General features: G+C 42.6%; 1 protein-coding gene across 3 annotated transcripts in view, besides 1 other annotated feature; it reads right to left on the reverse strand.

Moving 5' to 3' along the window:
- TMEM150C (transmembrane protein 150C) overlaps positions 1-13,518 on the reverse strand; it is a 79,078-nt gene extending 65,560 nt beyond the window's left edge. For 2 of the 3 annotated variants that reach the window (NM_001353455.2, NM_001080506.3), the window contains exon 1: positions 13,171-13,253. Coding sequence is in view for 1 of the 3 variants with exons in the window: in NM_001353454.2 (NP_001340383.1) it covers positions 13,428-13,507 (80 nt within the window). In the remaining 2 variants the exon portion in view is untranslated. Of the gene's footprint in view, positions 1-13,170; positions 13,254-13,427 lie in introns of those variants that run through there. The other variant, NM_001353454.2, reaches the window with a different exon arrangement.
- Positions 12,979-13,478: an enhancer, noted in NCBI's record as "H3K27ac hESC enhancer chr4:83482867-83483366 (GRCh37/hg19 assembly coordinates)". NCBI's record gives its function as "activates a minimal SCP1, AML or CMV promoter by ChIP-STARR-seq in naive H9 embryonic stem cells {active_cell/tissue: H9 hESC(naive)}" and the evidence as "EXISTENCE:reporter gene assay evidence [ECO:0000049][PMID:30033119]".

Raw genomic sequence — 27,015 nt, forward strand, 5'->3', positions numbered from 1 at the left:
GGGCAGGTGGTGGGCAAGCGAGGAGGTAATGGCCCTGGGCTGGGTCTTCAGGGATGTGAAGGCTTTAAGCTGGTGAGGAGGCACTGCATGCAGATGTCAGGGCATGGACAGGGCTGCAAGGCTCCCAACCACTTGTGTGTGCAGGAAACAGAGTTTGTGATGCTTAGGGAATCATGAGTAAGTCAGAGAGTGGTGATAGGTGAGCCAGAGAGGTGGGCAAGTGCCCCATCCTGGGGGTAATGGCATTGCAGCCAATGATTTGGCTTTCGCTATAGGGAAATGTGTTCATTGGAAATACTTCAGAAGGCAGAGATGGTGATAAAGAAGAAGATGAGAAGTACTAAAAAAAAAAATCCCCAATTCAGAGATAACCACTGTTACATTTGATGTGCAATCTTTTGCACAAATATATATATATGTGTGCATGTTTGCATGTAATATATTCATATGAATATATACACTTACATATACTAACAAAAATATTTTTCTTCAAAAATAAAATGATTTGAAATGTGGTATATATACTATGGAATATTATTCAGCCTTAAAAAGGAAGGAAATGATGACACGTACTACAACATGGATGAATCATGAGGACATTACGCTAGGTGAAATAAGCCAGCCACAAAAAGACAAATACTATACCATATGATTCCACTTATATGAGGTATCTAGAGAAATTAAATTCATAGAGAAAAGTAGAATAATGGTTGTCAGGGGCTAGGGGTAGGAGGATATGGGGAGTTGTTTAATGGGTATAGAGTTTCAGTTCTGTAAGACGAAAGAAGTTTTGGAGATTGGATGTACAGCAATGTTAATATACTTGGGACTACGGAACTGTACACTTAAAAATAGTGAAGGTGGTCAATTCCATTATGTGGATTTTACCACAAGTAAGGATTAAACATGTAAGTAATTAAAATTTAAAAAGGAAATCACTTAACAAAGCTCTTTAAACTTTTTCACTTCTTTTTGTAATCATCTCTTTATTGGAGATATATACAACTCCGTCAACATTTCAGAGGACTGTATAGTATTCTATTGTAGAGATCGACCTTAATTTATTTAACCCAGGAGAATTATTTTTTAGAATGTAAGAAATTTGCAAATGCTTGTCTGATGGGAAGGAGCTAGCAAAGAGCAGAGAGAGGTACAGGACCACAGAAGAGAGGAATATAATAATAGAGCAAAAACCCTGGACCCAAAGGAGGTGAGAGGAGATGGCATTAGGGGTTCAGGTGATGTGCTAGTCTTAAACACAAAGAAAAATGGACATCATATCCTCTGAGGAAAGGAGGTTGATATGGTTTGGCTCTGTGTCCCCACCCAAATCTCACCTAGAACTGTAATCCCCATAATCCCCATGTGTTGAGGGAGGGGCCTGGTGGGAGGTGACTAGATCAAGAGGGCAGTTTCCCCATGCTGTTCTCATGGTAGTGAGTGAGTTCTCACAAGATCTGATGGTTTTATAAGTGTTTAACAGTTCCACCTTCACATGCTCTCTCTCATGAACTCTCATGAACTCTCTCTCTCTCTCACCTGCAGCCATGTAAGACGTGCCTGCTTCCCCTTCTGCCATGATTTTAAGTTTGCTGAGGCCTCCCTAGCCATGCAGAAGTTTCCTTGATAAATTACCCACTCTTGGGCCGTTCTTTATAGCACTGTGAAAACAGAGATACAGATGGATATATAAGAAAGAGTTTGGGCAACTGTGGGAAGTCAAGAGACTAGAGGTCTCAATGAAAAAATAGATTGAGGAGTAGGGTATGAAAGAGCTGGAAGGAGCCAGGCACGATGGCTCATGCTTGTAATCCCAGCACTTTGGGAGGCCGAGGTGGGCGGATCACGAGGTCAGGAGATCAAGACCACGGTGAAACCCTGTTTCTACTAAAAGTACAAAAAAATTAGCCAGGCATGGTGGCGGGCACCGGTAGTCCCAGCAACTCAGAGAGGCTAAGCCAGGAGAATGGCGTGAACCCAGGAGGCGGAGCTTGCAGTGAGCCGAGATCGCACCACTGCACTCCAGCCTGGGCGACAGAGCGAGACTCCGTCTCAAAAAAAAAAAAAGAAAGAAAGAAAGAAAGGAAGAGCTGGCAGGATGCACAGTTATGTTCAAAGGATGCACAGTTATGTTCAGAGAATGGGATAGTGGGGTTAAGATTTCTGAGGTGAAAAAATAGCAGCCAGACAAGAGTTTGGGTGAAGGCTTGAGAGTGAGTAGGTATGGTTTAGTGGAGGTGAAGATGCTAAGAAGGTCCAATGGAGTTTGAGGCTGAATTCATCGGTCAGACCCTCTAGGATGATGTCATTGCCATAAGTTACTGCAAGAGTTGGGGGAGAAAGGGAGGTACAGGAAGACATGGAGCCAGATTGTCAGTTCTTTAAGAAATAAACAGGAGTGACTGGGAATTGAATGAAGAGTTGGGATGACAAAGGGTGGAAGGGGGTTGCCTCATTCAGCAATGAGACTTGTAGTTCTTAGAAAACATTCTCCAGCACCCCCAAATTCTTTACCATGATTTTTTTTCTCCATAGCACATACAGCATACACTATACTATTTATTTATCTACGGTCTGTCCTCCCCACTATAATGTAAAGCTCCCTGAGGACAGAAATGTCCATTTTGTTCAGTGCTCTATCACCAATACCTAGATTATGGCTACACATAGCAATGCTTCAATAAATCATATTTGAATGAATGAGTGAATGAGTAAATGGTAAAGGTCAGTTAAAATAAGGACATTCCATGAGGTTTGCTAAAATAGCAGGGAGAGTCTTCCTCAGGAAGGAGCTATCTTATAGTGTTCAGACTTAGGGACAGAAAAGTCAGCCAGGGCCTCATCCCAGTGTGTATCTGCTTTTTTTCATTTTCCCCTTTTCACGTGACTACTCTTTTTGATCCTATAAGACTCAGCTTGGGTGTCACCATCTCTGGAAAGCACCACCTGATGTCTCTCCCCTTATCTATCCAGGGCGGCTGCCCCTCATGTTCTTATGGTACCCTAGGATGCCTCTCAATTAGCATGCTTACCCCACTGTATGGTAACTGTTTACATGGCAGTCACCCCACTAGACTGAATAAGTGTGGCATATCTTAAACATGCAGTAGGCACTCTGGTATAGTTTGGATATTTGATCCCTCCAAACCTTATGTTGAAATTTGATACCCAATGTTAGCGGTGGGGACTAATGGGAGGGGTTTAGGTAATGGGGCTGATCCTTCATAAATGTCTTGGTAGCAACCTCACAGTAGCAAGTTTTCACTCTATGAGCTCCCAAGAAAGCTGGTTGTTAAAAAGAGGCTGTCCCCTCCCTCCCTTCTCTCTGGTTGCCTCCTCTCTCGGCATGTGATTTCTGCACACACTGGCTCCCCCACACCTTCCACCATGAGTGGAAACAGCCTGAAGCCTGCACCAGAACCAGATGTTGGCACCATGCTTCTCGTACAGCCTGCAAAACTAGGAGCCAAATAAACCTCTTTTCTTTATAAATTACCCACTACCCTCGGGTATTCCTTTATAGCAACACAAAAATGTATTAAAATGTGCTCTATAAATGTTTTTGAATACATAAGTAGAAAGCACTGGATGTGTGAGTTGGAAGATCCTGCATTTTTCCTTCTTTGAAGCTCACCTCTGTCACACACAAATCTACACTTTGGCCCTACTGAGCAAATGGGCCCTGGTGCTAGAGAAACCAGGTGGGAAAACAGCTCAGTCCCCACCAGAGCTTTCCTGTTAAGCTAAGCTAGGTGTCCACTGGCCTTCATGTGTCCATTTCCCTGCCCATCTGCCCATAAGCTTGCCTGTGATGACCTGGTGGAATTCTGAAGTACACAGGCTACCTAGCTCACCTGTGATGTTGCCTAGCCAGTAGAGCACAATGAAATCATCTGGGAAGCTTTTAAAAAAAAGTTTGGTGTCTGAGCTCCCCGACCCACCCAGAGATTCTGATTTAATAGATTTGGGGTGCCGCTGGAATTGTAGAGTTCGTCAGATGATTTTTTGTGCAGCCATGGTTGAGAACCTCTGCCCCCTGCCTCGCTTGCCATCTCTTCTGGGCTTGTGGTGCTGTCTAAAGTAGCAACTCATTAAGAACTTCTTCAGTCCAGGGTCTGCCCAGGCCAGCCATGGGCAAAGGTCAATGGTCTGTCTGAAGAACCCAGTGGAAGGGTGCTGCATCTTAGGGCAGCACAAGAAGCCAGATCACATTAGTTAACTGGCCTGGAGGAAAGAACACCTTTGTGTTCCATCTGAAACTGCTGTCCAGTAGCCACAGAGGCTATTAAAATTTGAATTAATCAAAATTAAAAATTCAGTCAATAACAGGCTAGCCAGTGCATTGTCACCTTTATGGGCCACCTGGTCTCTGTTCCAGTTACTCAACTCTTCAGTGTTCATGTAGAGGCAGTCACAGGTAACATGTAAACAATGGGTATGGCTGTGTACCAATTGGACTTTATTTACAAAATAGCTGACTCCTATCGAAAAAACATCAAATGCCCTAAGACAAAAACATTTACTTAATATAATTTCTAAACACAAAGAGATAATGATTTATTTGGAAAGGCAAGGTAAATATGCAACAAGCAAACAAACTAGAAGCCGGATGAAACCGAAGTAAGCCTTAAGGTACAACATCAGAGTCATGTTAAGTTGGCTTGGACAAACAATATGTTGAGAACTAATATAAAATATTCATAGGCCAAAGTGGAATGGAGTCTCATCCTTCTGTGATGGCTATGGTCAAGCCAAGACTCTAAGAAATAAATTGCGTGCCTTCCAAAGGCATTTTCTGGCTCTGAGACACTGAACAGGGGAGCAGTTATCATCCAGAAAATCCTCTTTAATTTCCCATTTCGATAAAATAAGTTAGAACTTGTGTTATGAACAAGAAAGAAGAGTGAAAAAAAGTCACTCTGAGCCAAGGACTGTGCTAGGGACTTCACAAATATTGTCCAATAGCTAATAAAAAGCAACATTTCTGAATTGCTACATTTATGATTCTGTAAGTGAACACTGATTTGGGTCAGTGGCTTGATCTTAAAAGATCACGATATGCCACTATTTGATCATAACTGTATCATTCTGCGAATCAGTTAATGGAGAATTTTCATCTTTATTTTTATGTGCATACATATACAATCAAAATTTTGTTATAAAATGGCAAGCCACTCCTTTTCATATAAATCAATTTTATGCCACATATAAGCTGAAATTAAAATGGGGAAACACCAATCAAAATGTCACAGAAAAGATAATCAGCTTCCTCAAGAACAATTCTATTAGCTGCTAAAATTACAGGAGATAAATATGGTTTTTGTGAATACTGTGCTGTCAATGACAAGACTGGAAAATGTTTCAAAATGCCATACTTTTGAAGTCTATGGTATGTGGGAACATAATACCACAAAGGCAGAAAAAATGTCACCCACAAGTTAATATTCCTGCTACTACATGTAGGTATATTTTAGTTATCAGTGTTTCTATATAAATATACTTTAAGTTTCAGTGCAAACTAGAATTTAGAAATTCCAGGAGATATATTTCCATTAGAAATTCCAGGATGATTATATTACAGAATTCTAATTTTAATTTGCAAATACTCCAAGTTCAGTAAAAAAATACTATTTCTATTGGGATTGCATTACAATGGTATCAACATTTCTTAATTAACACTATTCACTCATGAATCAACAGAATGAAAATAACTTGAAAGACTATTTTATCAACCAGCACAGTTTAAAAAATATATGTTAATTTTAGCTACATACAGTTTTAATTTATGCTTTAAAACTTCTAATTATTGCCATTTAAATATTTCTTTGGCAGTCAAGTCATCATAAGTGTAAAAAAAGAGTACGAAATCTACTTTGTTAATAAATGAAATGTTTGGTGAATAGTAAAGCTATGCTATTTTTAGAGACATTTATGTTTATATTCAGTTGATTGTCATTATAATTCATTATAATTGCTTCAAAGTTAAATAATATCATTTAAAGTATGGGCTAATTTCCTATACCGCCATAGTTAAGCATAGTTACTTCTTAAGCTTTGTCTACACCTGTCTAAAAGTATTACCCCACTTTCAATGTTTTCTCAAAGGCAGTTCATCTTGCCCCTTTTTATTCCACAGATAGAGTCTGGATCACTGTCCTCAGAGATGGAAGATTCTACAGCCTTGAACAAAATCTGAATAGCTTTAGAATTTTTCACGTTAGACACAGCTTCTGTACTTTTTAAAGGAAAGTAAGCATGATGGCAAGCTGTTGCCTCTTCTAGTCTACCTGACAAAGTCTATGGACTTTAAGTGATCCGATTACATTAAGTTTGACCTTTAAGGAAAACTGAAATCTACTTCCAAAATGAAATTAGTTTTACTTTCTAGATTGCACTGGAGAAAAAATATTTCCAGCCTCACTTTCAAGACTTCTTTTGTCATATGAAATTCTTAAAACAACATTGTTTTCTATTTATTTTATTAAAACTATGTCACGAGGCACTTGTGGGCAGGAGGTGATTTTGAAAAGACAAATAACTTAGGATGTAGTAAATAGTGGTAGATTTATAAGACAGACATATCCACTGAGACCATTTGTCACTATCTGCTAAAAACAAATGTGTGCAGAAGTTAGGAAGTGGTTAGGAGGGAAGGAAGACAGCTCTGGAGACAAAATCTGTAGTCAGTCTCTGGGACAAGCATATTTCTTTGGGCATATAGCTGTTTTTTCAAGGGCGTTAACCTTCAGAGACCACAGGCTGGCAGCAGTGAGGTCTCTTCCTGCCTAAATGTGCAATGATTCCCCTATCACCCATCAGGCCTCCTCTTACACAGAAAATAACTGGCATCAGCTTATTTCCGCACTTGTACAATGCTCTACAATTTTTGAGCCTCACAGTTTTGTAGATGTACATCTATGTATCGCTATCACATTGTAAGATGGGAGGTGAGGTGGTTGAACGCTTGGGCTGTCACCAGATTGCGTGGGTTCCTATTCTGCCTTCACTACTTACTGGGATGTAGGTACTGCGGGATAATGGCAATACCTACACCAAAGGACTGTTGTGAGAGACAAGATAAGATGCAAAGCATTCAGCTGGAGGACTTGTTAAGCACTCAATAATGTTACTCACTATTAGCTATTATTTTTGTCTTAGGACAGTGTTTCCTCAAGTGGATCCCAAGCCTAGTTTCATAGGCAATATTTTACATCATGAACCGGTATACACATATACACTTATGTAACAATAATGCAAATAATAAATATGCATATATGCTGCTTATTACATATGGACTGAGTGGTGCAGAGTTAGGATTTGAACCTAGGGGTCCGGGGTCCTGTTTTTCTAGTGTTGTTTTTTTTTTTCTTGGAGGGGGGATTACAGGCACACATCACCACACCCGGCTAATTTTGTATTTTTAGTAGAGACGGGGTTTTGCCATGTTGGCCAGGCTGGTCTTGAACTCCTGACCTCGAGTGATCCACCCGCCTTGGCCTCCCAGAGTGTTGGGATTACAGGCGTGAGCCAACGTGCCCAGACTCTCTAGTGCTCTGAACCACTACTCTCCACTGCCTTGTGGCCTGGTACTTGTTATACATGGAGGAGCCAAAGTTTCATCAAACACTAGTAACCGTCAATAAAAAGGATGCACAGTGACCACTTCTATTAGACATTTTATTTCATCAAGAAAAATGCTGATCCTAACCTGCTCAATTGATTTTATGACCCAAGACATGTAATTTGAAAAATACTACAGTAAGTGTTGTAAGAAAAATTGTTTTGAAAACACTAACAGCCAGGCATGGTGGCACACGCCTGTAGTTCCAGCTACTTGGGGGGCTGAGGTGGGCGGATCCCTTGAGGACAGGAGTTCAAGAATGCACTGAGCATTCTGGGTGACAGAGTGAGTGAGACTCTGTCTCTATTAAAAGAGAAAAGAAAAGAACAGAAAACAATAACAATAAAAAGTTAAATAAGTATATGTATCTCATCTTAGAGGCTTTACCATGCTATTGTGCATTATAAATCTCCAAAAAAAAATAATAAAAAAGATTATATGGAGCATTTATTCAAGCATCCCCATCACCCTATGGGATGGACACTAATTTGGGAAATGTTATCAGGGGGTGTTAATATCTTCAACACAGAGATAATTTGGGAGTTATTTCAACCTATAATTAGTAGGCACAAACATAGTCAATAAATTTTTAAATAATTGATTGAGGAAGAGTCCCTTCCAGAGGAGGGGAACCCCCAGGACCCTGAGCTCTGGCCTGGAGAGAAGTACCCTAGATGCCTATGCTGGGTGCGGGAGCATCACTCACCCAAGAAACATGAGAGGCAGTGTCTTGTAAAACAGTCTAATTAACAACATGTCCCTCTCCATGATCAAAATAATGGGTTTAATCAAAGCAAATTAGTTTAAAAATGGAAACAACATGCTTGATGCTAAATCAAATCCCATTTTAATGGCTTTACTAAAAATAATGGTAGGTTACACCTTAAGTGGATTTGGTAATCTCCACAGGCTAGACTTGAGCAAGAGGATCTGGGTTTGAAACCTAAGAGAAAGAAACCAGACAAGAAGGGCAGAAACCAACAGAGGCAGAGGCTTCAGCTGCTCCTGGAGCCAGGGGTACCCATTTGTCAGACTTTTCACAGGGTCTCTGTGATTGTAATCAAGGGAAGAGTGCGAGAGTTGTGCATCACTACCTACTTCCTACCTTTCTCTGAACCTCCTCTCCCTTGAAAAATTGAAACGTACAGAAACTGACTCTAAGAATACATGATCTGTAATGTGCAAAAGAGCAAATAAGCCCAAGTTCATGAACACCGACACGAGGGGCCAGGCATCTAAACAACTCTGGGTGATGCTTATTATTGAGGCTAGCAGACACATAGAAATTAAAAAGAGAAACAGTTTTTAGAGTAGGGTTGAACTTCAGCACAAAATATCTTCTTCAGAGCAAGTACAAGTGGTTTTTCTTTTCTTTTTCTTTTTTTTTTTTTTTTTGATATGGAGTCTAGCTCTGTCGCCCAGGCTGGAGTGCAGTGGCACGATCTTGGCTCACTGCAACCTCTGCCTCTCCCGGGACCAAGCGATTCTCCTGTCTCACCCTCCCTGGGATTACAGGTACCTGCCACCATGCGCAGCTAATTTTTTTTTGTATTTTTAGTGGACACAGGGTTTCACTGTATTGGCCGGGCTGGTCTCAAACTCCTGACTTCATGATCCACCCGCCTCAGCCTCCCGAAGTGCTGGGATTACAAGCGTGAGACACTGCACGTGGCCTCACAAGTGGTTTTTCATAGCAATAGGATTATGAAGTCAAATCTCAATTCTGGTATTATCAATGCCAATTGCCACTTTTTTTTTTCTAATTAAAGGATAATTGCCTTTAAATGCTATCTCTCTAGGAAATATGGGGAGAAAATTCAGAACTATACTGTCCAATATGGTAGCCACTAGCCTCATGTGGCTATTTAAATTAATTACGGCTAAATAAAATTTAAAATTCAGTTCCTCAATTACACTAGCCCACATTTCAAGCGTTCAATAGCCACATGTGGCTCATGGTTATCATACTGGACAGATTACAGAACATGTCCATCAATGCAGAAAGTTCTTTTGGACAGCACTGATCTAGAAAAGGCTGTTTATAGATGCCAAAAAGGAAAATATTAATTTCTCACTTAGTAAAAGAGCTTCAAGCCCTACCTACCAAAGCTGGTTTGACTCAGAATAGTTTGGGGCTGAATTTGAAGGCTACTGCCAAAGATTTCACGATTATCTCAAAATATTCTAAATGGCTGATCTAAAATCTCTTTGCATGATGATTGATTTTCCATTGCCACAAGTTGTCTTTCAAAATCTAAACATACCAGAAAAAAAAAAAAATCTAAACATACCAGGAAATGATATTTGGTGATAACAATAACTTAAAGTTCCAATAATTTATGAACAAGTTTTAAAATACTTAGAACAACTATGAAAAAATATAAAGCTACATGGCACCATCAGCTCCAGGAGTAAAAATTTATAGTTAAAATAAGTAGGGGCTGTCAGGCTTCTGAGCCCAAGCTAAGCCATCATATCCCCTGTGACCTGCACGTATACATCCAGATGGCCTGAAGCAACTGAAGATCCACAAAAGTGAAAATAGCCTTAACTGATGACATTCCATCATTGTGATTTGTTTCTTCCCCACCCTAACTGATCAATGTACTTTGTAATCTCCCCCACCCTTAAGAAGGTTCTTTGTAATTTCCCCACCCCTAAAAATGTTCTTTGTTAATTCTCCCCACCCTTGAGAATGTACTTTGTGAGATCCACCCCCTGCCTGCAAAACATTGCTCCTAACTCCACCGCCTATCCCAAAACCTACAAAAACTAATGATAATCCCACCACCCTTTGCTGACTCCTTTTTCGGACTCAGCCCACATGCACCCAGGTGAAATAAACAGCCTTGTTGCTCACACAAAGCCTGTTGGTGGACTCTCTTCACACGGACCCATGTGACAGGGGCTGGGCACAGTGGCTCCTGGCTGTATTCCCAGCACTTTGGGAGGCCGAGGCGGGTGGCTCAATTGAGGTCAAGAATTCAAGACCAGCCTGATCAACATGGTAAAACCCCGTCTCTACTAAAAATACAAAAAAAAAAAAAAATTAGCCAGGCATGCTGGTGGACGCCTGTAATCCCAGCTACTTGGGAGACTGAGGCAGGAGAATCGCTTGAACCCAAGAGGCGGAGGTTGCAGTGAGCTGAGATTGTGCCACTGCACTCCAGCCTGGGCGAGAGAGTGAGACTCCGCCTCAAAAACAAACAAACAAAAAAAGTAGGGACACACTTATTACACACCTGTGTCTAGTCCTACGCTTTTCATGAACTTAGACCTGGATTCAATAACACTTGGACCCTATAATGTTTTGGGAACTTCAGCACACATCTCATTGGACCCTTACCAGAACCTAATCACACCGTAGTGCTGATTCTAAGTGTTACAGATTCTTCTGTGAAAGGGGATGACTGAGAAGTAATACATTATCTTGTCAGTGCTTGTCTTGCTTAATTGGTTACTGAACTGATCCCAAATGGCCAGATTGCAGTGAAACCAAATGGCTGAGATTGCGGGGTCCAGCTAGCTTTTCCTCTCTCATGACTCCAGGCTGCCCTGCTAATCTGACCCACTGTACTAAAGAGGTGTGGGTCACAGGCGAGACAAAGCAGGAAGACAGACAAGAGTGTAAAGCAAAGGGCCTTCTCTCTTGACAATTGCAAAGCAGATAAAGTGAGCCCAAAAACCCCTGCAAGGTCATTGTGAACATGATTGTGGTAGTTCTACAACAAAGGCTAAATAGAACGCATTATTGTGTTCACGCAAAAAAAAAAATTACTCCATAGAGCAAATTATCCCCCCACAAAGCAACATGGAAAAGGTATTTGTAAGAAATGCATGAATTAAGCAATTGCTCTGAAGACTTAAATGCCAATTTAAATAATCCAAACAGATTGCATTCAGCTAATGGCAGATTATAATAAACATGCATTAAAGTGTTTTTCAAATACTTTAATATATTTGTGAATGTCATAACATCTATCAACTAGTCATTATTGTTAGCAAAACTTCTTTACCCTTTTATTTACCATGTCCAGTTTGTGAGCTTCCAACTTGGGGGACTTGCAAAACATTTATTAAATAATGTATAAAGGACACACCATTAAAATTCCTACGCTTATGCCTTGAAGATTAAACTCACATTTCTAGCTCATTAATAGATGACAGCTATAGTTAATCCTGGAAACATGGAGTCTCTAGAACACATACAAGAAAAAGTTTGGGATTTGATACATGAGAGCTGAGACTAAAATTCTTTGATCGGTCACATATATGGGCCTAACAATTTTTCCTTGAAATAGGAAACTTTAAGTAGGTCAGTTTAATGACTGCTACCATGGAGTTTATAAATCCACACTCAACTATCCTTTCGATGAACTGCTGCCCAGAATGGAGTTATAGCCCTGCACTATTAAAATGTCTTTGGTTCAAGCAGAGAAAGATGCAGAAACTGATCCTGCCATTTAGGCTTTGTTATTGTTTTAGATCCAATAACTGTTTGGTTTTGTTTTTCAACATGGCATTGGTATATCTGGTTCCCCAACAGGACCTCGCATGTAGGACATCGGAGTGGGTTCACTCGGGAAGATGGACTTCCATTCTACCTGAGCTATGTTCCCACATGCGGTCACAATCCTGGCCCAACCGTGAAAGGCGGTCTGGCCGGAATAAACCTGACCAAAAAGATCAGTGAAATGTGTGGGACATCATAAAGTGCTGTGGGGGTAGGGGTGGAGGAAAGGAATGAGTAGAGAAAAAAGGAGCATGAATTTAAAATGGGAAAACCCTCTCATACTCCATTTGATTCATTTAAGGAGGGGAAAACCACTCAAGGACTCTCTCCAGAACCCAAAGCTAATCACTTTTTTATTGCAGCAGATTACCAAAGAGCCTAGGTAACCCACCTACCACGGCCTCCCGCCGAAAAACCAAAAATCCCATTTCTTCCCAAGTGTGCGCCCAGGAAAGGAAGGAAGACTGTGCATTTAGAGTGGAGGGCGGTACACAGGGCAAAGCAAGTTAGTGCCTCCTTCCCAGATCCCCTGCTTCCCGAGCCAGCCTGACCTGGCTAACCGCAAAGTGCAGGGAGAATGGCACAGGGACCGGGAGGTCAAACTTGGGGTCGCTTCTCACCCGAGTCCACCCGATAACGAGATGATGGGGCGGCGGGTGGGGACACCTGTCAAAGGACGGGGCCGGGGCCGGGGCCGGGGCCGCAGCGGGCGGGCTGGCTGGCGGCACTGCGGCGGCGGGGACCGAGGCGCGCCGGCTCGGGCGTTCGCAGGTCGCGGGGCAGAGCCGGCACCGACTCCTGGACTTGCCGGGGAGCGTGCGCCCGCGGAGGGCTCGGGCGGGCGGCCCCGCGCCCGGGACGCTATGGGAGGGGGCCGCAGCCGAGCAGGGCCCCGCAGCCGGGCGGACCCAGCCGCCCCAGCCGCGCTGCAGCCCCCGCCGTCCCCGGTCTCCGCCTGCGGGCTGCGCACGGGGCCGGGCCGGACGCCCCCTGGCTGCGCGACGGGCCCAGGCAGGGGAGGGGGCGCCGCGCCTACCTGCTCTGGTGCGGCGGGGCCGCTGTCGCCTCGAGGGGCTGTGACCTGCTGCGGTGGCGGCGGCGGCAGCAGTAGCGGCGGGTAGGGCGCTTCCTTCAGGAAGGGGTGGGATCTGCTCACCCGCCCGCCCGGCCCCCTCCTGCCGCGCCGGGGCCCGCCCCCGACTTATTCTGGGGTCCCCGCTGCTAGGCCTTCGGGGAGAGTTGATCCCCTGGGTCTCGGGCTTCTGCCACCCCCCCGGGGCCCCTAATAGTCACCCGGGGCAGGAGCCGGGTGTGGGCGGGCGAGCCGCTTCCTTCCGAAGCCTTTGTGGACGCGTTTGCCTGGCGCTCCTCATCCAACAAAAGGAAGGACAGAATCTTGGATCCTCCGCCTGGTGGTTATTTATTCCTGACCTGTTGTAACCTTCTGCCTGGCTCTCTTTCGTCCGCACACCTAGGGTTTTTGCACAAAGCAGCTAAAATTCATTTTCATGCCCATTGACTGAATGTAGTTCTCCTCCACTCAGCGCTGTCCCGCGGTTTTTGGTTTTTTTTTTTCCATCCTATTGAACAAACACAGAGCCAACTTCGGACCCTGGCAATGAACAGCAGACACCAAGGCCGACCTCCCAGCGCCAGCTTGCAGCTTTCCTCCCTGGGTCTCGTCTGAGTCCGTCATAAACTGTGTTCATCAGCGTTTTGACAGCTTCCCCCATCCCGGACCCCCAACCTACCATGGGACCCCATGGCACCATGTCAGTGACCTCTAGCAGCAGCATGGATCAATGCCATTTTTATCTTAGGCTCATCATGAGCCTGGGTTCCAAACACAACCTCTCTGGCCTCCAACAGGTGGCTCTCTATCAACCGGCCTTTGTCAGTCTGCCCTCTATTCTTTTGGGGGCTTCCGTAGCACACCTGTCTCCTTTAAACTGCTGTCTCTACACAAGCAGGCATTCCCTTTTTTTCTTTTTCTTTTTCTTTTTCTTTTTCTTTTCTTTTCTTTTCTTTCTTTTTTTTTTTTTTTTTGAGACGGAGTCTTGCTCTGTCGCTCAGGCTGGAGTGCAGTGCCGCAATGTCGGCTCACTGTAACCTCTGCCTCTCGGGTTCAAGCGATTCTCTCGCCTCAGCCTCCTGAGTAGCTGGGATTACAGGCGCCCGCCACCATGCCCGATTAATTTTTGTATTTTCAGTAGAGGCGGGGTTTCACCACGTTGGCCAGGCTGGTCTCAAAACTCCTGGCCTCAAGTGATCCGCCTGCCTCAGCCTCCCAAACTGCTGGGATTACAGGCGTGAACCACCGCGCCCGGCCCAACCAGGTGTTTCTAAGAATCTTCTCCAATTCAGCATATTCAAATTCTGCAATTAACGTTCGGTTCCAGAACTCTCCCTTCCCCACAATTCTTGTGATTATTGTCTACTATGTGTATATTGATTCTTTTTTTTTTTCTGTATGTTGATTTCTTGTTACTGTTTTCTCCTGGCTACTAGACTGTAAGCTTCCTGAGACCAGGGATCTTGCCTTCTCTTGTTTTCCTTATTTTAATGAGTGGGACTGTTATCCATTCAATTAAAATAGCAAAAGCAAAAACTGAATCTTAGTCTAGACTCCCTTGAAAGTATATGCTCAATTTTGTGGGAATTAGCTTATGTGTACTTTTCTGAGGAGAGTAACTACACATTAATCAGACCCTCAAAGTGGTCTGACTCCCCCAAAGGTAAGATTGCTTGAGGCCCATCCATGAACCCCTCCTCTCTCTACTCCCTGTCCCCATGCCATTCATTTCTCTCTGCAATAACGGAAAGAGTCCTCTAGCTAGATCTTCCAATTCATTCTTTCAGAAGTAGATCCAGCCAAAGAATTAGCTGTCCCTCAAACACAGAAGTGGTACTCTGTTTTCACATCAGAATCACCAGTGGGGGCTTTAGAAAATGATGCCTGGGTTCACCTCAGACCCAGAGTCAAAACCTGATTGGAGGTGGCGGGGGAAACCAGAACACAGGTATTTTGACAAAGAACCGCAGGTGATTCCGACATGGCCATGCCATATCACTCCCTTTCTTGGGAATAGGGCTCCCAATTTGTAAAATGCCCTTACTTTCCCCTCCCCCATTTTTTTGTGGAAGGATTGAGAATCCATGCACCAGGTTTAATTTATTTCAACATTTTCATTTTCATTTAGAGCCAGGCCTATGTTTCCTAAAAAAAACCAACTTGAGTTTGTGAGGATCGCAGGCTCAGTGCCATTCCTCAGCACCACTAAATCACCGCCGCCTTCATCTCCAAAATGTCCCTCCAAATAAACCCAAAAAGCAAAATGAATTACATTCCTGACAGTGATATTACCAGCTGAAATTGTGTGTTAAAATGCTGGCCATGAAGGAGAGTTGGTTGCTATAAGCAGATTCTGTTAATGTCATGAGAGTTCGAGCGAAGCTTCGAGAGTACAAGCAAAACATGGGCTTCTCTGTGCCTTTTTCTTGGTATCCCATCTGTTAAAATTTGTTGTCCACCATGTACTCAATATACCCTTAGATATTTTAAATCATATATGGGTGTAAGACTGAAATACTTTTCCAGAACCGGTTGTCCTTTTTTCTTTTGAGTATTTTTTGGGGGATGAATTTTAAATGAATCTCTGAAGGCTTCCAGCCAGCACTTGCTTCTACCTCACAAAGACCATTAAAGGCCCCAAGGCAGCTTGGTCCTGAGTATTTGGGGAGTGAGAGTGAGGAATTGTTGTGTTGATGAGGCAAGCACATATTTGTGAGGATCTTCCTACATCCTCTTCTTATTCCTTTTTTTTTTTCTTTTTTTTTTTGAGGTGGAGTCTCGCTCTGTCGCCCAGGCTGGAGTGCAGTGGTGCGATTTCGGCTCACTGCAACCTCCGCCTCCCGGGTCCATGCCATTCTCCTGCCTCAGCCTCCCGAGTAACTGGGACTACAGGTGCCCGCCACCACGCCTGGCTAATTTTTTTTGTATTTTTAGTAGAGACGAGGTTTCACTATGTTAGTCAGGATGGTCTCGATCTCCTGACCTCGTGATCTGCCTGCCTCGGCCTCCCGAAGTGCTGGAATTACAGGCGTGAGTCACCGCACCCGGCCTCTTACTCCTTTTTATAGGAAGCTAGCTCTCGGAGTATGTGCTATGCCTTGGCATCACTTGGGAGGTTGTCACATTGGTCCATTATAAAATGTGACATTGAATAAAGGTTCTGTCCCACTTCTGCCTCCAATTCAAAGGCCATCTCTGGAATGGCCATTGGCAGTGAAGGATTTAGGTTCTCTGTCTAACATCTGCAGCACTCCCCCTGTTCCCAAGAACTCCTACACCACTGAGCTTGGTTCTGCCCTCTCATATGTGAACTCTCTTCCTCTTATTCTCAGAACTCTCATGTGTGTCCTACTGATGGTAAGGAGTTTGATCACAACTGGCTGTCTTTTTAAAAATTGCATACAAATATTCATTTTGTACCTTTAAATGATCTGTTGATATGTTCCAAAGTGATTCAGTCTGTGAGGAAAGACCAAGCACAGAGTTAGAGACTGGGGCATGGAAGAAATAGAGCGTAAGGCCCAGAAAGAGATGCCAGCCACAAACTTTGTAAAATTTTGTGTCAAATGGAGATCCATACTCAGAGACATCAACATTCTACAGAACCACAACGAGGCATCCTAATTTCAACACCATGTTGTTCTACAAGGCTGATGTCCTAACTCTGGTGCACAGCACAAACATCCATCTATCTGAGTTGGGGGGCGGTTTCCTGATATAAATGAATTTATTATCTAACTGAAACCACTACAGAACATTTAGAATTACAAAGAAATTTTATATTCTTGCTCATTTTCTTTCTCTTGGGCAGTCAATTTGTTTTTGTTATTTTATGATTCAAATCACTTCCCTAATTCATTTGAAAAAACAGAATTGAGAAGCACAGCTCATAAATAACGCTCTCAGGGATTCTGGAAATCCCTGCTGCTGGTCCAATTGCAATGACTTTCATTATAATAAAAATCTCTGTATAACGAAGTTATTGCCAAACCTTATCCAACAACTGGTAATCCAAGTAGTCTCTGATAAACAACAAAATCAGCTGGGCGCAGTGGCTCACACCTGTAATCCCAGCGCTTTGGGAGGCTGAGGCGGGCGGATCATGAGATCAGGAGATGGAGACCATCCTGGCCAACATGGTGAAACCCTGTCTCTACTAAAAATACAAAAAATTAGCTGGGTGTGATGGTGCATGCCTGTAATCCCAGCTACTCAGGAGGCTGAGGCAGGAGAATTCTTGAACCAGGGAGTCAGAGGTTGCAGTGAGCCGAGATCTCACCACTGTACTCCAGCCTGGGGACAGAGCGAGACTCCATCTAAAAAAAAAAAAAAATCAAAGAAAGTCATTGGAATGGCATTTTATTGTTATCAAAACTGCCTATTAAAGATAACCTTGTTAGGGCAATTGGAACGATAGTGAGAGTACATCTGGTCACGGGATGTTAAATGGAAGCCTTTATTTTATTCCCATTTTTAGAGAGGCCTCAGATAATAGTTGTCAACCACACTCACATGCCAAACAAAGTTCTGTACTACTATGCAGAATTTGCAAAGGAGTGTTCCTGAATTTCTCATTTACCCTGTCATGTCATAGGTATTCTAAGAGGCCCTTTCTCTGCACTTAACAGGGAGGGGAAGGGGCTTTTCTCTCACCTTAAGTCTAGTGAGAAAGACTTCAGGAAGACCTCTTGGAGAGCTCCGTGGATGTCCCCTGCAGTTTAGGGAATACCATGGACTGGTGCCTGGCTCATGCCTGAGAAACCTAAAGGACCAGAGTTAGTAAAAGTGGCCTGAATATCAGGTAGGGACTGTGGCTGGGGAAGTAATTTACTCTCACGGAAGACAAGTCTAAGAGAGTGACACACAGCAGGATTGACCTTGATTGTACCCAAGAGGATTGCTTGCAAAGGCAGAAGTCTCTGCAGAAAGAGGCCAGAGGTTTGCCTCCAAATGTGCAGGGTCTAGGGCAAGACTCTAAAGCGATGAGGCAGAGGCAAAATGAACCTGCTCATGCCAAGGGGATGACTGGGTGGTGAGAAGCTCCCCAGCAGGGTGGCTGTGGTAAGCGATGTCCAACAAACCCATCACAGGGATCATAAGAGAAAGCATCAGCTGGAAACATCTGCCATGGCCAGAGGTAGCCATGGTAGTGAGAGCCATCCAACACCTTTCCGGCTCCTCAGCTCTCTCTTCCCCTTTTCCGTCTTGGAGGAACCGGGTAGCCAGTGAGAGTAGAAAGAGGTGGAAGCACTAGGCTGGAAGGAAAACACAGGAAGCCTACCATTACCCACCTTTTCCCGCTGAAGTGTGGAATTTTTAAGATTATTTTACTGTACTACATATTTTTAAAAAAACTTTTAGGTTCAGGAGTACATGTGCAGGTTTGTTATACAGGTAAACAGCATGTCACAGGGGTTTGGTGTACAGATTATTTTGTCACCCAGGTAAACGCATAGTATTCAATAGGGATTTTTTCAATCCTGTCCCTCCTCCCACCTGCCAGCCTCAAGTAGGCTCCATGTCTGTTGTTCACTTCTTTCTGTCTATGTGTACTCAATGTTTAGCTCACACTTCTAAGCGAGAATATGCGGTGTCTGGTTTTCTGTTCTTGCATTAATTTGTTTAGGATTGTGGCCTCCAGCTCCAGCTATGTTGCTGCAAAGGATATGATCTCATTCTTTTTTATGGCTGCATAATATTCCATGGTGTATATGTACCGTATTTTCTTTATCCAGTCTATTTTTTTTTTTTTTTTTTTGAAACATAGTTTCACTCTGTCGCCCAGGCTGGAGTGCAGCTCACTCCACTACCTCCGCCTCCTGGGTTCAAGCAATTCCCCTGCCTCAGCCTCCTGAGTTTCTGGGATTACAGGCGTTCGCCACTACACCCAGCTAATTTTTTTGTGCTGTTAGTAGAGACAGGGTTTCGCCACATTGGTCAGGCTGGTCTCGAACTCCTGAGCTCAAGTGATCCGCTCACCTCAGCCTCCCAAAGTGCTGGGATTACAGGCATGAGCCACCGCGCCCATTCCAGTCTACTGTTGATGGGCATTTAGGTTGATTCCCTGACTTTGCTATTGTGAATAGTGCTCCAATGAACATACAGGTCCATGTGTTTTTATGGTAGAATGATTTATATTCCTTTGGGTATAAACCTAAAAATGGATTTCTGGGTCAAATTGTACTATGTATATATATTTGTGTGTGCGTGTGTGTGTGTGTGTGTGTGTGTGTGTGTGTGTTTGAGAGAGAGAGAGAGAGACTTGCTTTATTGAAATATTCTCCTTATTATAGTAGTTTGGAATCGAACCTATAATGTCTCCAAGGTAATGCCTGTATCTTATCTCTTCTAACAACTTTTTTTTTTTTTTTTTTTGAGACGGAGTCTCGCTCTATCACCCAGGCTGGAGTGCAGTGGCGCAATCTCGGTTCACCGCAACCTCTGCCTCCCAGTTCAAGTGATCCTCCCACCTCAGCCCCCCAAATAGCTGGGATCACAGGTGTGCGCCACCATGCCCAGTTAATTTTTAATATTTTTGGTAGAGATGGGGTTTCACCATGTTGGCCAGGCTGGTCTCAAACTCCTGACTTCAAGTGATCCACACACTTTGACCTCCCAAAGTGTTGGGGTTACAGGCATGAGCCACCACGCCCGACCTGTATGATGCATATTAATTACTGAAATGAGAGTGTATTTTTGGCTAAAAGTAATCAGAGGCCTTTTAATTATTTGAGAGTAACCTAAAATGTCATAGGGCCTGTGTATTCAGTCATCTGAGGGGCAGGAAAACTGGCCCCACAGAGCAGATTTAACGGAAGAAAATAAAGCTGCATTCTGAATGTACCCATGAGCCCAGCTGGGTCAGCATATCAGCTATCCATTCAAATACAATGCACTCCATATTATATCTTAAAATCTCTGAGGATGTCTCATTCTGACATCTTACCTGAATTATTAGCATGTCATATGTGTCAAGAAATTCCCTTTGTATGTATATAAATTATAGTTTAAGCTTCCCAACAAGTACGTTAGAAATAAGGATACTGGATTAAAAGAGCCAGGAATCTAAATGTTGCTTAGCCTTCTATTAAATAAGTGTCTGTAAATAACTGTCTGTAAATAACTGTAAATAAGCTGTAGTTTCCTCTTCTTAAAGGGCCTGCATAAGATGATTGCCAAGGCCTCTTTCAGCAAGAAAATTCTATTTGGAAAGGCTACAGTACACCACAGATCAAGGACCAAGTTTTCAGACTGCTCCACAGGTGAGCAGCCGTCAGACCAGCATATCTGGCGTGAGATCGCTGCAATGGTTTGGAGTGATAAGCAAGAACTATTTCCAAAATGAGGTACTGACAAGCACAGTGGTGCCTTCCTTTGAAGGTGACATGTTACCTTGGTGACAGTTTCCATATTATGCACTTGGCAATTGTGATCTGGGAATTCCCGAGCATTTTCCTGTATTCTCTGGAGTCCTGTATCACTCCTGCCATCCTCCTCCAGTGAGAAACAGAGTTGCAAAGCCATCTGCGACTGGTGTTCAGAGGGAGAGCCACAAATGAAAACCAGATCCTATGTTCTGAAATTCACTGAAATTTTCCCTATTTTACTCCATTTTCCCTATTTTAACTAGGAGATTCTTGTCTGCTACAAGAGAATAAGCCAAAAGAGTGGGCAATTTTGATTTTAATCAGTCCCCTCTTTGGACTTTTTGCCAACATGCATTAAGCTTAGGGAAGTCATCCATTCTCTATTGATTTAAAAAAACCTTCTAAATTAGAGAGCTAATGACTAATCATTTTATGGTATCATATCCTTTTCGCCACAAACGGCTGTTTTTGAGGACTTTTAGTAATTCTTATTCAGTTTTTTAAAGTTCTAACCAAGTGATGTTTCTTCAGCCTGATTGTTTTATTGTCCCACTCTGCTGTCTGCCACCCAACTGCCCAGTCTTTACCCTGAGACCTTGCTATGATCCAGCAACTAAAGAGTTAACAGGAAACGGAGAAGGAGGCCTCCTAGATCTGCTGAGGTGGGTAGCCAGTGTCTGACAGGCTGGTGTCCTTTCTGCACTGATTGTTACATATTTTAAATGTCATCCCTGATTGGGGTCTCTTGGAAAATATTCTCAACTTCTCTCCAAAAAGTATCTTTTTATCATCTCTCTTTCTCTCTCCACCCTCTTAGAAGTTAAAGGTCTCCAACTTTGTTTCCAAGCCAAACTCTATCAGCTGTTATCTTTATTCTGCCCTCCCCTAATACTCTCTCTTTTGGTACCTGATCCCTCCCTCTCAAGTGGTCATTCCTCTTAGCCTACAAACATATGCGTATTTCCTCCATCCTAAAAACACCTTCCATAGATCCTGCCTTCTTAGTCAAGCTCCAATTTCATCACTTCCCTTCCCTTCGATGAGAAAATTCTCAAAAGTTGCCACCTCCCCTTTACTTCCAGTCCTTGCTTTACTTTCAGCCCCCACTAATCTTTCAATTCCACACCTCCTCTGTCAAAAATGCTCCTTGTAGCTTTACAGTGAATGACTCTTTGGTCACTGAGTTCCACTAACTGCTGCAGAGACTCCTGGTTGTCCTCCTCAAAACTCACCCATCCTTTTGTTCCTGGGATGTCATTGCAATCTCCTGGATTTCCTTCTTCCTCTCCGACTGCTCCTCACATATTCCTTCACAGGAAGCTCCTCTTGTGCAGAAGTGGTCCTCAACATCCTACGCCTGATCCTATCTCTTCTAACAGTGGTCTGGCCCTATGTCTAATGGTATCTCTTTGCAAACCACTCATCCATCCTGTGTCTTCATGTGATCAGCCAGCCAGTACCTCCAGTTCAAAACCACACTCTAGGAAGCCTCCTTATTCATAGATCAGCCTGAAATCTGGGAGTTAGCAAGAACTCTTTTTCTCTTCAAAAGATCTCATCTTCATTCAGGAATTAAGTCCTATTTCTTAATTCTACTTTTACAACATCCTGGGAATCTGTCTTCTTTTTGTTTCTACTCTTTTAGGGCAAGTCCTGGTCACCTTTATTATGCTTGATTGCCCTACTTCTTCCCTCAGCCTCCACTCTCTCCCCTGCTCCAATCTCCCTTTCTTACTGTCCCCACTCTCTTTTTCAATGATTTGATTTTCTTTCTTTATTTCACCTTTAAAAAATATATGTCCTACATGCCCAATTAAAAAGTGAAACTGAGAAGCTAAGCAGTGAGGAGAACAGCAACCCAGACCTCTCTGGAGTTGAGAATGATGATGCCGTCAGTATAGAAAGTGTTACAAACACTGAGGCCCGGCGCGGTGGCTCATGCCTGTAATCCCAGCACTTTGGGAGGCCGAGACGGGCGGATCACGAGGTCAGGAGATCGAGACTATCCTGGCTAACACGGTGAAACCCCGTCTCTACTAAAAATACAAAAAATTAACCAGGCGTGGTGGCGGGCGCCTGTAGTCCCAGCTACTCGGGAGGCAGAGGCAGGAGAATGGCGTGAACCCGGGAGGCGGAGCTTGTAGTGAGCCAAGATCGCGCCACTGCACTCCAGCCTGGGGGACAGAGCGAGACTCCGTCTCAAAAAAAAAAAAAAAGAAAGTGTTACAAACACTGAATGCTCTGATATACCTACAAACACGCCAAAGACACCTGAAAGGAAAAGTTGAGGAAAGGGAAAATGGAAGTCAAAGAAATGCAAATATTCTTTCTAATGTATAAACAGTCTCGAGGAAGATCATAACCAACCATTGTTTGGAGTTCAGTTTAACTGGCACAGTAAAAAAGGAGATCCATTAGTGTTTGCAACTGTAGGAAGCAACAGAGTTAGCTTGTATGAATGTCATTCACAGGGAGAAATCCGGTTGCTGCAATCTTACATGGATTCTGGTGGATCCTTTCCTGGGTTTTTAATATCTTTGGTCAAAGGAATTTATTTTCAACAAGTATACCAAAACTTTTATAAATTAATCAACTCCCTAAAGTTTTTTTCTAAAAAAAGTGAAAAGGCCAGGCGTGGTGGCTTACACCTGTAATCCCAGCACTTTGGAAGGCCGAGGCAGGTGGATCACTTGAGATCAGGAGTTCGAGACCAGCCTGGCCAACATGGTGAAACCGCGTCTCTACTAAAAACTACAAAAATAATCCGGGCATGGTGGCACGTGCCTGTAATCCCAGCTACTCAGGAGGCTGAGGCGTGAGAATCACTTCAACCCAGGAAGCGGAGTTTGCAGGAAGCGGAGATGCCCCGGGTGACAGAGACTCCGTCTCAAAAAAAAAAGTGAAAAAAATCCAAATATGTCTAATAAAAAGTTAATAATCTCCCCTTGTCTCCAACCCCTTCTTTCCTACCTCCAGTATGAACAGTCTGGTATGCATCCTTTGAAAATTTGTTCATGTACATACATATATTCACATTTTAAAACAAAAAGTGGGATTATGATATGTATATTACTATAGAACTCTCTATTCTGACTTAAAAGTATACCATGGACATCTCTCCAAGTCAATAGATAGAAATTTAGCTCATTTATTTTTTAAAAATCACAGCTTTATTAAGATATAATTCATACACCATACAACATATCCATTTAATGGTGTATTCAATGATTTTTGGTAGATGTACACAGTTGGGCAGTTATGACCCCAATCAATTTTAGAACATTTTCATTGCCTCAAAAAGAAATTCTATACCTATTATCAGTCCTATTATTCTATACCTATTATTTCCCACTTCCCCCCAAAGTAGATTAATGGTTGCAAGGGACAACCACTAAACTAATTTTTGTCTCCATGGATTTTCCCATTCTTAATATTTCATATAAATAGAATTGTATGATATATGATCTTTTGTTTCTGGATTCTTTAACTTATTCATCCACATTGTAGCATGCATCAGTACTTAATTGCTTTTTTGCCAAATAGTAGAGTCTATTGAAAGAATGTACTACATTTTTTTTATCCATTCATCTGTTGGTAGACATGTGGGTTGTTTCCATCATTTGACTATTAGAAATAATGCTGCTGTGAACATTCATGTACATGTTTTCATGTGGATATACGTTTTCATTCCTTTTGGTTATATATAGTAGTGAAATTTTTGGGTCATTCAATAACCCTATATTTAACCTTTTGAAGAACTGCCAAAGAACAAAGTCAGAGAATGTCTTAGTCCGTTTTGTGCTGCTATAACAGAACAGCACAGACTGGGTATTCTGTGAACAGAAATGTATTGGCTCACTGTCCTGGAGGCTCCATTTTACATTAACATCAGCAGTGTATGAGAATTTCTATTTCTCCATATAGTTGCCAACAATTGTTATTGTCCATTAAGTCTTTTTAAAATTATAGCCATCCTAATGAGTGAAGTGGTATCTCATTGTGGTTTTGATTTCCACTTTCCTGAGGGCTATGATATTGAACACCTTTTCATGTGCTTACTGGCCATTCATATATCTTCTTTGAGGAAATGTTTACTCAGATCTTTTGCCCATTTTTAATTTAGTTATCTTTTGACTATTGAGTTGTGATGGTTCTTCATACAAGTCTCTTATCAAATATATGACAACCTGGCCGGGCAAGGTAGCTCATGCCTGTAATCCCAGCACTTTAGGAGGCAGAGGCAGGCGGATCATGAGGTCAGGAGATCGAGACCATCCTGGCTAACACGGTGAAACCCCGTCTCTACTAAAAATACAAAAAATTAGCTGGGCATGTGGCAGGCGCCTATAGTCCCAGCTACTGGGGAGGCTGAGGCAGGAGAATTGCTTGAACCCGGGAAGCAGAGGTTGCAGTGAGCCAAGATCACACCACTGCACTCCAGCCTGGGCAACAGAGCGAGAAGCTGACTCAAAAAAAAAAAAAAAAAAAAAAAAAAAAAAAAATATATATATATATATATATATATATATATATATATATATATATATATATATATATGTGACAACCTATTATTCTGGTTGTCTTTTCACTTTTATAATGATATCCTTTGAAGCACAAAAGTTTTTTATTTTGATGAAGTCCAAATTAGCTACATTTTTTCTTCTGTTGCTTATGTCTTTGGTGTCATGTCTGAGAAGACTTTGCCTAACCCAAGGCTGCCAGATTTACTCCTATACTTTCTTCCAAGAGTTTTATAGTTTTAACTCTTACATTTAGGCCTTTGATCCATTTTGAGTTATTTTCTGTGTAGGACATGAGGAAAGGGTCCAACTTTATTCTTTTGCATGGACTTATCCAGTTGGCTTAGCACCATTTGTTGAAAAGATTTTCCTTTCCCCTTTGGACTGTCTTGGCACCCTTGTTGAAAATCAATTGACCATAAATGTGAAGGTTTGTTTCTGGACTCTCAATTCTATTCTGTGATTTATCTGTCTACCTTATGCCAGCACCACACTGCCTTGATTAATGTAGTAAGTTTTAAAATTAGGAGGTCTGCGTCCTTCACTATGGTTTGAATGTGTCCCTGAAAGAGCTTGTATTAGAAACCTAATTCCCCAACCCAACAGTGTGGAGGTGGGGCCTAATGGGAGGTGATTAGGCTATAAGGGCTCTGCCCCTCTTGCTCTCCTGCCCACATGCATTTTTCTCTCTTGCTTTCTTTTGAACTCTTTTTCTCTCCCATCTTTTTGCTCCTCTTGCCCTCTCTTTGCCCTTCTGCCATGGGATGATGCAACAAGAAGGCCCTTGTCAGATACTGGCTCCTTTATCTTAGACTTCCTAGCCTCCAGAACAGTGAGCCAATAAATTTCTGTTCACAGAATACCCACTCTGTGCTATTCTGTTATAGCAGCACAAAACAGACTAAGACATTCTCTGACTTTATTCTCTTTCAAAATTATTTTGGTTATTCTGTGTCCCTCCCATTTACATATGAATTCTTAAACCAACTTGTCAGTTTTGGCAAAGAAGCTAGCTGTTGCTTTGCTAGGAATTGTATTGAACTTGTAGATCAGTTGGGAGAATATTGCCATCTTAACAATATTGGTCTTCCAATTCATGAACGCGGAATTTTTTTCCGTTTATCTAAATCTTCTTTAATTTCTTTCAACAATGTTTTGAAGTTTTCAGATATAAGTTTTGCATTTGTTTTGTTAAATTTATTCCTAAGTATTTTATTCTTTTTGATGCTATTATAAATACATCGTTTTTTATAATTTTGTTTTCAGATTGTTTGTTGCTAGTGTATAGAAACACAATTCAATTTTTTTTTTTTTTTTTTTTTTTGAGACAGAGTCTCATTCACTCCATTGCCCAAGGTAGAGTGCAGTGGCACAATCTCGGCTCACTGCAACCTCCACCTCTCAGGTTTAAGAGATTCTCCTGCCTCAGCCTCCCGAGTAGCTAGGACTACAGGTGTGCACCACCATGCCTGGCTAATTTTTGTATTTTTAGTAGAGACAGGGTTCCGCCATGTTGGCCAGGCTGGTCTCGAGCTCCTGACCTCAAGTGATCCGCCTGCCTCAGCCTTCCGAAGTACTGGGATTGCAGGCGTGAGCCACTGCGCCTGGCCAGAAACACAACTGATTTTGTATGTTAATCTTGTAACCTGCAATTTTGCTAAACTTATTCGTTAGTTCTGGTATTGTGTGTGTGCACGTGCATTCCCCAAGATTTTCTATATTCAGGATTATGTCATCTGCAAATAGAGATGGTTTTACATCTTCCTTTTTCAATTTGGATGCTGTTACTTCTTTTTCTTGCCTAATTGCCCTGGCTAGAACCTCCAGCACAATGTTAACTAGAAGTGACAAGAATGGACATCTTTATTTTGTTCCTGATCTTAGGGAAAAGCATTCAGCCTTTCATCATTGAATATGATGTT

This window comes from Homo sapiens, chromosome 4, assembly GCF_000001405.40.
Source record: "Homo sapiens chromosome 4, GRCh38.p14 Primary Assembly".
NCBI classification, from domain to species: Eukaryota; Metazoa; Chordata; class Mammalia; order Primates; family Hominidae; genus Homo; species Homo sapiens.